At 47.7% G+C, this 13,042-nt stretch overlaps 1 annotated feature.

Annotated features, from left to right (window-relative positions):
- Positions 258-759: an enhancer, noted in NCBI's record as "H3K4me1 hESC enhancer chr19:54789309-54789810 (GRCh37/hg19 assembly coordinates)". NCBI's record gives its function as "activates a minimal SCP1, AML or CMV promoter by ChIP-STARR-seq in primed H9 embryonic stem cells {active_cell/tissue: H9 hESC(primed)}" and the evidence as "EXISTENCE:reporter gene assay evidence [ECO:0000049][PMID:30033119]".

Genomic DNA, 13,042 nt, shown 5'->3' on the forward strand with positions numbered 1-13,042 from the left:
TGAGTGAGTGAGAGGATCCCTAACACGGGGAAGGTGTGAGTGAGTGAGAGGATCCCTAACACGGGGAAGGGGTGAATGAGTGAGAGCCTCCCTAACACAGGGAAGGGGTGAGTGAGTGAGGGGTCCCTGGCATCTACACCTCTGCTGTGGGCCCTTAGGATCCTGCCCACAGGAGAGCGCCTGTCCCCTCTGGGCCTCCAGAGGCCCACAGTTTGCTCCTGGAGACTGTACCAAGGCCCCACTGGAGCCCACGTGGAATCCCACAGGCTTCTGATCCCTGAGCAGCCTGGGTCCAGCTGCCACTGCCTTAGCAGGGAGGGAGGAGGCCAGGCACCTCTGTGGGCCCCAGAATAAGTATGACAGCTGGGGCACAGGAGCAGCCAAGCTGAGCACCACACAGCTGCCCACCTCTGTTGCTTCCTGCGAAATGGGGCTTCCTTCCTGCTAATGGGGCTTGCCAGCTGCAGGGCCCCAGTCACCCGTCCTGCCCCCACCCGAACACCGTGGCCCTGGCTCGGTGCCCTCTGAAAGCCCAATGCTCAGAGGCCCCTGACAAGCCCTTTGCAGTCACTGCCACCTCTGCCTCTGCCCCTGCTGCCCCAGGCCCAGGGAGGGTGTGGGGAGGCCTGGCACTTTCACGTGTCCCCAGAGCAAAACCGAGTGACACTTCTTCAGGAGGGAAGTGTGAGCGGGCCCTGTGCCTCACAGCTGCCAGTCTCCAGTGCCCCAGCCGAGGGGCGCTGCCCTCCCTAGTGACAGGCCCACAGCACAGCCACCCTGCCCCCACCTGGACATTTCAGCTGCAGCCCCCAGCCCTTCTGAGAGCCCAGTCCCCACAGGCCTGTGATCTGCCGCAGGCTCTACCACCTGAGCCTTCTGCCTGCCCCGCCTGAAGGTTCTGCCGGTGACCTGGGGACCAGCCCATCCCTCCCCATCACAGCCAGCATCTGAACCCCGGAGCAGCCGAAACCCAGTCCAGCCCCTTCAGGACTCACACACGCTGTCCAGCCGGCCACCTAGGGGCCTGTGATCCGGGAACTACCTGCCCTTTCCTACCTGCTGGCACCTGACCACTCACCCCAGGGCCTGAGGTCGGGCCCACCCAGCCAGCAACACCACCACAACTGACGTCCACTCTCCCATCCAGAGAGGCAGAAGCCCCACATCCCACCTACATGAAGCAGCTACCGCGTCAGACAACAGACAGCCGCTCAGGGTCTGCACTGGGCTGAGGGAGGAGGCTCTGCCTTGGAACCACGCCTGCAGAGAGTGGCAAGGCAGGTGTTTCCCACTGCCCTCAGCCACACTGTGGCCTGGGGAGAGACAAGAGTGTGTGTCTGAACTGAGACTCATGAGCCCTGGAGCACGGGTGTGATAGGGAGACAGACAACGTTCCTCCCTATGGGACTGGAAACGGTGTAGCTCCTTCACTCCCCGCAGAGACCTCAGGGCATTTCACTAGGAGCTGCTCCAGCCATGTCCATCAGGACTAGTGCCTGCACTCATCACTGGGATATCTGTGGGCAAGCCGGGGGTTCCAGCTCTGCCCAGGGGTGTTCCCTCGCCCCTGTGGAACAGGAAGCTCAGGGCACCTGACACTCCACGGTCCAGCCCTTCCCCTGAAACAAGAGTCAGCACCTCACAGGAAACACACCAGGTCCACATCCACCTGCTTGTGCCGAGCGTGGCTCTTACCCTTAAGCACCAGCTCCTGGCCTGCAATCTGAGCTGCACAGCCCAATGCAAACCCTGCTGCAGAAGCTCCCAAAGCCATGGGAAAAGCCAAAAGACCCTTCCCAACATGCTCTACAGTCACCCTCCCTGCGGGGCTGGGGGAAAATGTGCAAAAGAAATCCCATCCAAACGAAAATAAATTCGAAGAGAGTAAGTGGAGGCCTCTCCAGATGAGAAGGAATCAGTGTAAGGATTCTGACGCCGTGAAAAATCTGAATATTGTGGCACCACCAAAGGATCGCACTGGCTCGCTAGTGATGGATGCTGAAAACAATGGAAACTCTGAAAGGACAGATAAAGAATGAGACTGACACAAAAACATTACAAAGAATCAATGAAAGAAAACGTTGGTTTTTTGAAAGTATAAATAAAATTGAGAGATGGCTGACTACACTAACCAAAAAAAGGAGATTTAAATAAGCACAATCAGAAATGATAAAGTTGACATTACAACCAACACCACAGAGATACAAAAGATCATCAGAGACTACTATGAACACCTTTATGCACATAAACTAGAAAACCTGGAGAAAATAGATGAATTCCTAGACACACACAACTTCCCAAGATTGCACAGGCAAAAAATAGAAACTCTAAACAGACCGATAACAACCAATGAAAAAGGATCAGTACTAAAAATCTTCCAGCAAAAAAGTCCAGGAACAGATGGATTCGCAGTTGAACTTAGCTGTATGTACGAAGGAGGGCTGGTACCAATCATACTGAAAGTATTCCAAAAATCAAGGAAGTGGGATTCTTTGCCAGCTCATTTTACAAAATCAGTATCATCCTGATAGCAAAATCAGACAAGGATCCAACAGAAAAATAAAACTACAGGCCAAGAAATCTGAGGAACACAGATGCAAAAATCCTCAAGAAAATACTAGCAAACGGAATCTAACAGTGTATCAAAAACATAATTCATCATGATCAAGTTGGCTTGATTCCAGGGAAGAAAGGATGGTTCAATATATGCAAGTCAATAAAAGTGACTCATGACATGAACTAAGAACAAAAAGCATATGATCATCTCTATAGATGCAGATAAAGCTTTCAAGAAAGTCCAACATCGCTTCGTGATAAAATCCCTCAACAGGCTAGGCATGAAAGAAACATACCGCAAAATACCAACACCCCCTGCGTGACAAACCCACAGCCAACATCAAATTGAATGGGGAGAAGTGAAAACATTTTCCCAGGAAAATGAGAATGGGATCCTCCCTAGCCCCTGGGGTCTCCTACTGGACCAGGGCCTATCTGTGGGGCAGGGTCCCTCTCATGCTAGAATCTCCCTTTCCCCTCGTCAAATCTCAGTGAAGTGGACCATGGCCATGGGAGTGACAGTCATGGCACAGAGAGGCAGGGCTCTCCTGTAGCAGGACGAGCCGCAGACAAAACTCCTCAGACACCGGATTAAAGAAGGAAGAGGTTTTTATTCAGCTGGGAGCGTGGGCAGACTCGCGTCTTAAGAGCCGAACTCCCCGAAAAAGAAATTCTTGGCCTTTTTAAAGGCTTATAACTTTAAGGGGTCCACGTGAAAGGGTCGTGATACATCAAGCAAGCGTGGGAAACATGACTGTGGGGGGCTATATGCATCAGCTAACAGAACAAAAAGTTTTACAGTGCTTTTTTCATGCAGTGTCTGGAATTTACAGATAACACCAGTAGTTTAGGTCAGGGGTTGATGTTATTATTATTACTTTTTTTAACTCCTACGGCCGGGTGGTGGTGCCAAGGTTGTCTGGCTATTTATCTTACTTTTGTATTTTTCCAACTTTTGGCTTTTTCTCTCTTCCTGTTTTGTGAACTAGGCAAGGTGGGGGGAGGAGGGCAGCAGGAGTAGTAGTGGTCTCCTTCCTTACTCCCACTTACAGGATTTTCCCACCAGCATCTCCATGGGTGGTGAGCTGTCCCGGACCCCGCTGGCTCATGTTTTCCCAGGACTTGGCCTTTCTCGAATGCTTTATCTGCATCGCTTGAGATTATCACATGCTTTTTGTTCTTAGTTTATGTCGTGAGTCACCTTTATTGACTTGCATATATTGAACCATCCTTTGAGACAGGCACCAGGCTTTCTGCTGATATTTCAGACACGCATGGCATCTCTCCTGATCTCCTTTCACTGTCTGCCTGACATGTCCTCGTCTCATTGAGGGCCGGGACGTAGCTGCAAATGGACGTGGTGCCTTCCTGAGTTGGTCCCTTCCAGGTGAAGGCAACGGAGGGTTCTTCCTTCCTCTCAGAGACTCCTCGTGGGGTTTCCCTCTCTCCTTCAGCTCACCCATAAACACACCCTTGTGGGGAACCTACCATGGCCAGTCTTCTCACCAGTCCTGGGGAAGCTTCAGGGAAGATGCAAATTCAGGCTGCGGGGCAGACTCACATCAGCAGAGACTCATCTCGCATCTTGCTGTGCAGTTCCAGTTGAGCTTTATTGTGGCGATGAACAGAAAAGGGAAATACATGGAGACAAGGGAAGGAATCATGACTCTTTCCCCAGAACTGGAGTGTGGGTTTTCTTTATGCAAAAACGTTCCCTTCACGAACTTCTCATTCACTCATCGCAACAGCATCTGCCCCCGTCTCCCTGGAAACAACATTGACCTGACTCTGCCTTCTTGGTGCCCCTGTCTTCTTTCAAACACTCCTGTTCCCATCCTGTGCTCCTGAGTTCAAGGTTCTGGGACAATACGTGGGGTTAGCACTCTGCTTTGAGGGGAAATCTTGTCTTTATTTAAATATTCATGTGTCACCCCCTGCCTGTGTGACCTTGGGCAGTAACCTCCCATTTCTGAGCCTCGGTTTCCTCATTTGGAGCCTGTGATGAACCCCATTTATCACAGGGGAGCTGGGTCATTGGAGCCTGGGGACTGCAGGGGGCTCAGCCATGGGTAATTTCCAGAGCAGGTGAAGACAGGAGGGGTGGGGGCATGAAGGGATGCTGGCGCCCACCATCAAGGCCTGAGATTGATGTTTCCACTAAGGAGAGCCCCTTTGTTCCTGCCCTTGAGAGATGCTTCTCATAATATTTCATCAACACCCCCGTTATCACAGTCATGTCCAGAAAATGAGAAATGAAAGCTTGTCAGAAGGAGAAGCGCCTGCATTAAAGAGAAAATTAAAACTGACAGAGCATTTGTGTCTGGTGCCATTGGGGTCTTCAGGGAGGAAGTAATTAAGTCACTAGTGTGCATACATTTAAGCATGAAATGCAAATCTTTTTTTTTTTTTTTTCGAGACAGAGTCTCACTCTGTCGCCCAGGCTGGAGTGCAGTGGCACAATCTCAGCTCACCGCAACCTCCACCTCCCGCGTTCAAACGATTCTCCTGTCTCAGCCTCCCGAGTAGCTGGCACTACAAGCACGCACCACCACACCCGGCTAATTTTTGTATTTTTAGTAAAGATGGGGCTTCACCACGTTGGCCAGGCTGGTCTCAAACTCCTGCCCTCACCTGATCCGCCTGCCTCCGCCTCCCAAAGTGCTGGGATTACAGGGGTGGGCCACCGCGCCTGGCCAAAATGCAAATCTTGACCTCTCATGATAAACTGAAAAATAGGAGTAAATTAAAAAATACATATGCTAGACTGAATTATGTAATTTAAAATGCATTTTTGTGTTTTGTGATTTTCAACTCAACATGTCAATAGCATTGCTTCTCAGTGGGACTGGACTTCCCGATAGTAAAAAGATAAGGGAAGGAGATGCTAAGAGAGTACTCTCAGGGGACTAACTGCAAGTGAGGAATTCTATACTTACTCAGGTTAATACCTGAAAGGTAAAGGGGTCAGCAGGGGACCAATTCCTAAACAGAAGAAGGCTCAGGGCAAGACGGACCTGTGAAGCTGTCTGGTTGGGCTTCCCCTTCGTGAGGGCTGAGGAGGGATTGGAGGGTGGATCTCTCAAATCATCAGATGTGCTTTCTCTTCCAGGTGTTATACTTACCCTTTAACTAATACAGAAATGTTTTCATCTATTTTGATAGAGAGAGTGGGAGGAAAAAGAAGGCATTTTCTGAGCTGCAAGTTACTAGATATTACTGTTTTCATGCTCAGTGAAGGCAATTTTAAATGATATCATCCAGTTGGAAGATCAATGAATCCGGCCGGGCGCGGTGGCTCACGCCTGTAATCCCAGCACTTTGGGAGGCCGAGGAGGGCGGATCACGAGGTCAGGAGATCGAGACCATCCTGGCTAACACGGTGAAACCCCCGTCTCTACTAAAAATACAAAAAAATTAGCTGGGCGTGGTGGTGGGCGCCTATAGTCCCAGCTACTCGGGAGGCTGAGGCAGGAGAATGGTGTGAACCTGGGAGGCGGAGCTTGCAGTGAGCGCAGATTGTGCCACTGCACTCCAGCCTGGGCGACAGAGCAAGACTCCGTCTCAAAAAAAAAAAAAAAAAAGAATCAATGAATCCAAAATGTAGAATATGAGATGCCACAGTGATGTAAGTGAGAAACAGGCAAGTATTTGAAAATCACACACAGACATGCCCACATGAATGCAACCACACACGGGCACACATGTATGAGTCAGTGTGCATGTACACATGTGAGTACTCAGAGTTCAGCTACAGTGGAATTAGAACGTGTCTTCTCTAAAGGCAAGGATAAATGAATCCTCATTCGAAAATATATAATTGAGTGAATACTTAACTAAATAGGTGAAGTTATTCCAAATTTTTCTTTTTTTTTAATCCTGTATGTAAAAGAGTAATTCATCCACTGAAGGATAAGTTAAATAGCCCAGTACCCCAATCACACCTAGGCATGAAACACAATAGTACCATCTAAAATGAAATGATAATTTACAATCAGTAAGTGAAGAAAGGTATACTAGTAAAATATCTATTGGAAATATTAATATTCAACAAAATGTAACATAATCCAAAAAGTTTTAGAAATAAAAACTAAAATTTTGTGTTTTAATGAAGTTGTAAGGGCTGGGCATGAAGGGATTTGCAGGCTGAGCGGGGAGGATCACTTGAGCCCAGGAGTTCAAGACCAGCCAGGGCAAATAGTGAGACTCATCTTTATTTATTTTTTTAAAAAAAGAAGGTATTAAAGATGACTGGGAAAAATCACTGTATGAAAAACCGAGGAAGAAGGAATTAGGGCTCCCGAATGGGGTGAAGACCCACATGCAGAATGTCTCTGAGCCCTGAGAGTGGAGCAGTGTGTTCAGGATCCTGAGCCTGTGGAACCAACATTCTCTGAGATGTGAGTCTATGGAATGTGTGTTATAAGACCTGCCTTTTGTTAGTATAATCCAGCAAAAGCCCATGGGCGAGGACCCAGTTTTATTTTAGGGAATGTGGGGACAGTATATTTTCTATTTGTGTTTATGCAAATTTCATATTGCTGATCAGTCATGCAGAAGGCGGAGGTCAGTGTGTTCACAGGATTCGTACCCGAGAGTCTGGAGACACATGTGGGGGTCCATGGGAAAGGCTGGTGGCCGGGTATGGTGGGAAGGTAATCAGCGACAGATGCCAGAGTCTCCTGCTTGATCTTGCCGAAATCTGGCTCAAATGTTTGGCCTGGCACAACCAAACTAGAACTTGGAAGACGCTGTATAGGTAAAACATAATATTGTAATCATTCATATTCTGTTAAGGCTTTGAAAATGTCCTTAATAAGATTTCTTTATCCTGGAAGGTAGATGGCAAATGATAACATTTCTTTATTCTAGAGGGTAGATGGCAAACGATAAGATTTCTTTATTCTAGAGGTTAGATGGTGAATGATATGATTTCTTTATTCTAGAGGGTAGATGGTGAATGATAACATTTCTCTATTCTAGAGGGTAGATGGTGAATGATAAGATGTCTTTATTCTAGAGGGTAACTGGCGAACGATAAGATTTCTTTACTCTAGAGGGTAGACGGCAAATGATAAGATTTGTTTACTCTAGAGGGTAGATGGTGAATGATAAGATTTCTTTATTCTAGAGAGTAGATTGTGAATATTTGGTCCTTCATGTTTTCTCAGGATCCTCCCTCCAAACATTCTATCCTATACAGCAAAGCTTTACATCCTTCAAACACAACAGTCGTCTTGGACCTAGATATGTTGAACTCTTTAATGCTAGGACTCAAGTCCTCTTGCTGTTTGGGACAATTCAGAAAAGAATCAGCCCCAGTCATTTTGCATACTTCTGTCTGACTGTCATAGGTGAGTAGAAAGAAACAGCTCAACTGCTTGACAAGATTCATCGACCTGAGGTCTTGTCTGCAGCTGGATTTCTATCCTACTTCCGTGATTTTCCTTTCGTGGATCACCAACACACTGCAAATGCCTATCATTGCTTTTGACGTGGTGTACTTTGGTTCTGCCTGGAAAGGCAGGAAGTCTCGAAGTGAGGAGCTCACAGGTCAAAGGAGATTGAAATGTTTTCAGACAGAATAGGCAAATCCGTAGAGACAGAAAGCACACTTGTGGTTAGCAGGTGCTGGAGGGAAGAGGGAATGGGGAGTGGCTGCTGAATGGGTGTAGGATGATGACAATGTGTGGAACAGGATGGCAGTGATGGTTACACAGTGATCTGAGGAGAAGATACACAGGTAGCATCTGAGAAGGAGGGAAGGGCTTGTAGGGTTTGGAGAGGGTGTCAGGGCATCAGGGTGGATTTATCTTTTCCTGGTTGAAATCTGATACTCTCCCATTGATTTAGTTACTGAAGCACGTTTGGAACTCTGAACTGAAGAGATGGAGGCTCAATAAAGCACACCAGGGAGTATGGCAATGAGGAATAAAGAAGACTGTGTTACACACCATGGACCAGAGCACACAGATGTGCAGAGGTGTGGATCCAGCCCTGCCATGTGGGATGTAGCCTCATGTCTAGGGGTGGGAAAAGAAGGGGATCCAACCAAGGGAAGTCAACATTAATAGAGAGGAAAGGTATCACATGTTAATGGTCCTCCATGGATCACCCTGCAAAATATCTCTGCAATCCAACACTGATTCCTCCTTCTAGAAATTATCAGCAGACAGTCCAGATAGCATTGGCCCTAAATTGTCTCCCGGAACCTCCTGGGATCACCATATCTATTCCCAAGGTTTCACCACTCTGAGAGATGCATTGTCCTCTCTGCTGTTCACCTCCTAGCTGCATCTTAGGGGCTTCTCTGGCTGTGCTGAGCCTCAAATAACAGAATCCTGAGGACCACCAGGATCAAGCCAGCCTTGCCCATGTGGATGAGATTCTCCACTGTGTAATCCTGGGGGTGTGAGGTTGGGGATGGTGGGCAAAGAGACCACAGAGGTCAGGGCAGATCAACATCACCCAGGACCTCTGGATGTCCACCCAGGGCACCCACCTCCCCTTCACAGGACCTGACCCTCTGTGCCAGCCCCATAACTGAAAGCATCTCCTCACGCACCAGTCTTGGGGTCTGAATTGTTTTGTGATGGGCTGAGGGTATCAGCTGCTCCTGAGAATCAAAGCAAAGGAGAAGTACCCTGAGCCAGCCTCTCCCATGGGCTCGGCATTCTTATCTTCCCCTGTCTCCTGACATGAGTTCTAAGGAGTTCCTTAGTAAACTCTTCCTCTGTAGCAGTGTTCGTTCCGTTCTTCTTAATGAATTATTTCAGCTTTCCTGCTTTCTACAAATCCAAATGTTGCTCTTGAGTCATTTGGGGGAGAGTTTTCCTTCACCCTGAGGGCTCAGGATCTGCAAGGAAAGTGGTCCCCAGTACAGAGGTCACTGAGCCCTGTGTGCTGTCTGTGCAGCCTGGGACACGGGAGCACATGAGCCAATTCCCCCGGAGATGAGAGTTTCACGGATCCACCAGCTGAGGACCCAGGCTCCCTGGATGAGGGGTTGGTCCTCAGGGGCTCCCGAATGTCAGAAGCACAAAGCGGTGAAAGTCTGGGGCTGCCTCCCCTTCACCTGGGTTTTCATTGTCCAATTAATCTAATTAACTAATTCTTCATATAATCAGGAAAACCTAGAATGATGTGATACCTTCCCCCCGGCCCCCATCCAAAAATATCTGTCTGCTAAATAGTGGTGCTATTAGAGGTTCATAAATCAGTATTTCTGCTTTTACAAAGTGTGAATCTAGGTGAATCTAGACCAGTAACAAACATGTAAACTCCTACCACATCAAATGTCTTATTTATTTATTTATTATTTTTATTATTTATTTATTTATTTATTGAGGCAGAGTCTTGCTCTGTTGCTCAGGCTGGAGTGCAGTGGTGTGATCTCGGCTCACTGCAAGCTCCGTCTCCTGGGTTCAAGCAATTCTCCTGCCCCAGCATCCCGAGTAGCTGGGATTACAGGTGCACGCCGCCACGCCCAGCTACTTTTTTTGTATCTTTAGTAGAGATGGCGGTTTCACCATGTTGGCCAGGCTGGTGTCGAACTCCTGACCTCATGATCCTCCCACCTCGGCCTCCCAAAGTGCTGAGATTGTAGGCATGAGCCACTGTGCCCGGCCTATTTTTATTTTTATTGAGATGGAGTCTCACTCTGTCGCACAGGTTGGAGTGCAGTGGCACTATCTCGGTTCATTGCAACCTCTGCCGCCCGGGTTCAAGTGATTCTTGTGCTTCAGCCTCCCTAGTATCTGGGACTACAGGGCCGCACCACCATGCCTGGCTAATTTTTTTTTGTATTTTTAGTAGAGATGGGCTTTTACCATGTTGGCCAGGCTGGTATCAAACTCCTGACCTCAGGTGATCTGCCCGCCTTGGCCTCCCAAAGTGCTGGGATTACAGGCATGAGTCACTGCGCCTGGCCATCAAATATATTAAGAATATGGATATATTTATCAAGTGAACTTGGAAATACTTACACACATATTCAAATGTAACTTATATAACCACACATAAATATGTATAGATGTAAAACTTTAGATATTTAAGATGTAGTTACATACATATTGATATTTGAAGTGAGAAATATTGGCAAGCAATATAGAAATAAGTAAAATCTCCATTGTCTCATGGTTTGTATACATTTCATCAGGAAATTAGAGGAGATCCATAGAAAAGCAATTAGAATGGGGTAATTTGGTAGTGAGTTAGCATGAAATACAATGAATATACTCAAACGAGTAGCTTTCTCATGGATAATTATCTTTTATTTTTAAAATATGAAAGAATAAAGTACTTCACATATACATTGTTAAAGGTGTTGAATAATTCTTCAAGTTGGAATGAATATAATTCTTCAAATGTCCACCCAGGACACCCAGCTCCTCTTGACAGGACCTGACCCTCTGTGCCCAGCGTCATCACGGCAAGCATCTCCTCACTCACCAGCCTTGGAGTCGGACTTGTTTTGTGGTGGGCTGAGGGTCTCAGCTGCTCCTGAGAATCAAAACAGAGGAGAAGAGACATATTCAGAGGTAACTCATATGACAAATTATTCAACACCTTTGACAACTTATAAGTGAAGTATTTGATTCCTTTATATTTTTTAAACAAGAGGTAAGTACCCATGAGAAAGCTACTGGTTTGGGTATATTCATTGTATTTCATATTAACTTATTACCAAATTGCCCTCTTCTGATTTAAATTTAAATTAACAATTTTAAAGCATCTCTTTTTCCTATAAAAGAGGTTTAGTTAGATGTCAGAATTATCCAGTGATTGGACAACATTGGACATGAACCCCCCAGGCCCAGAGCTGGGCTGCACTGTAGCCCCCGCTGACCTCCCCCGGGTTTCCCATGCCACAGGGAGCCGCCCAGTCAGTTTCCCTCGGGCCACTGTGCTTTAAAACATCCAAACACAGCCGGGCGCGGTGGCTCACGCCTATAATCTCAGCACTTTGGGAGGCTGAGGCGGGCACATCACAAGGTCAGGAGATCGAGACCATCATGGTTAACACAGTGAAACCCTGTCTCTACTAAAAATATAAAAAATTAGCCGGGCGTGGTGGCGGGCGCCTGTAGTCCCAGCTACTCGGGAGGCTGAGGCAGGAGAATGGCGTGAACCCGGGAGATGGAGGTTGCAGTGAGCCGAGATCGCGCCACTGCACTCCAGCCTGGGAGACAGAGCGAGACTCCGTCTCAAAAAAAAAACAAAAAAAAAGAAAGACAGCAGATTCTAAAACAGTGGAGATGGAGGTTGCAGTGAACCGAGATTGTCCCATTGCATTCCAGCCTGGACAACACTGTGAGACTCCATCTCAAAAAAAAAAAAAAAGTTTTGAGTGGGGTGTGGAATAGGGGAAGGCTCTGCAACAGATCCAGGTCCTGCACAAGCTCTTCTGCCACCTGGGCCATATGATCCAGTGGAACAGATGGTGCTTGAAGTGTCAGTGGCAGATCGAGATGCTGTTTGGAGGTTTTGACAAGCTCCTTCCTATAGGTGAATTGGGGCTTAGACACTTAGGATTGTGGAGCAAAATCCTATCATCATTCACAGATAGCTAGTCTCCTTTTGAAAAACATATATTTTTTTTTGCCGGGCACAGTGGCTCATGCCTGTAATCCCAGCACTTTGGGAGACCAAGGTGGGCAGATCACCTGAGGTCAGGAGTTCGAGACCAGCCCGGCCAACATGGTGAAACCCTGTCTCCACTAAAAATAAAAAAATTAGCCGGGCATGGTGGCACCTGCCTGTAATCCCAGCTACTTGGGAGGCTGAGGCAGGAGAGTCGCTTGAACCCAGGAGGCGGAGATTGCAGTGAGCCGAGATCATGCCACTGCACTCTAGCCTGTGCAAGAAGGGTGAGACTCCATCTCAAAAAAAAAAAAAAAAGGAAAATATTATATTTTTTTCCATTATTGAGCCTTAGGAGAGACTGGATGCTTGGGCACAGGTCACCAAGGTACCATGAAATGTGAAGTGTGTGTTAGCCGATGCAAGCTGTATAATAAGATCATGTCCACTCAGGCCCTGAAAGTGTGAGCAATTTACACAAAGCAGGGGGCCAAATGCCCATGGTTCCTGTCCCTGCTACACAACCTTCTGCCTTCCAGCCTGCACCTATAATCTCATGGGGATTTCTCTATGCTCCGTTGACAGAGAAAGTGAAGACTCAAGCCTGGTTTGCAGATGGTTCTGCACGATATGCAGACGCCACCCAGAGGTTGAGAGCTTCAGCACTTCTGCCCCTTTATGGGACATCCCTAAAAGACAGTAAAGTCAGGGCGCAAGTGACCCCCTTCCTGAGGACAGAGCCTGCGGCTGGGCGCCTTGAGTGTCCTCTCACCTGTCACCACCAGCACCAGGGGGGTCACTGTGCCCTGACCGGCCTGTGGCACTTTGATAATAACAGTGACAGTTCTCTGCATTGTGCTCTGGCTTGTGTGAGATATGGGTCCTGGTCTTGTTCCCAGGCCCCAGT

Source organism: Homo sapiens, chromosome 19, assembly GCF_000001405.40.
Source record: "Homo sapiens chromosome 19, GRCh38.p14 Primary Assembly".
Lineage (NCBI taxonomy): Eukaryota > Metazoa > Chordata > Mammalia > Primates > Hominidae > Homo > Homo sapiens.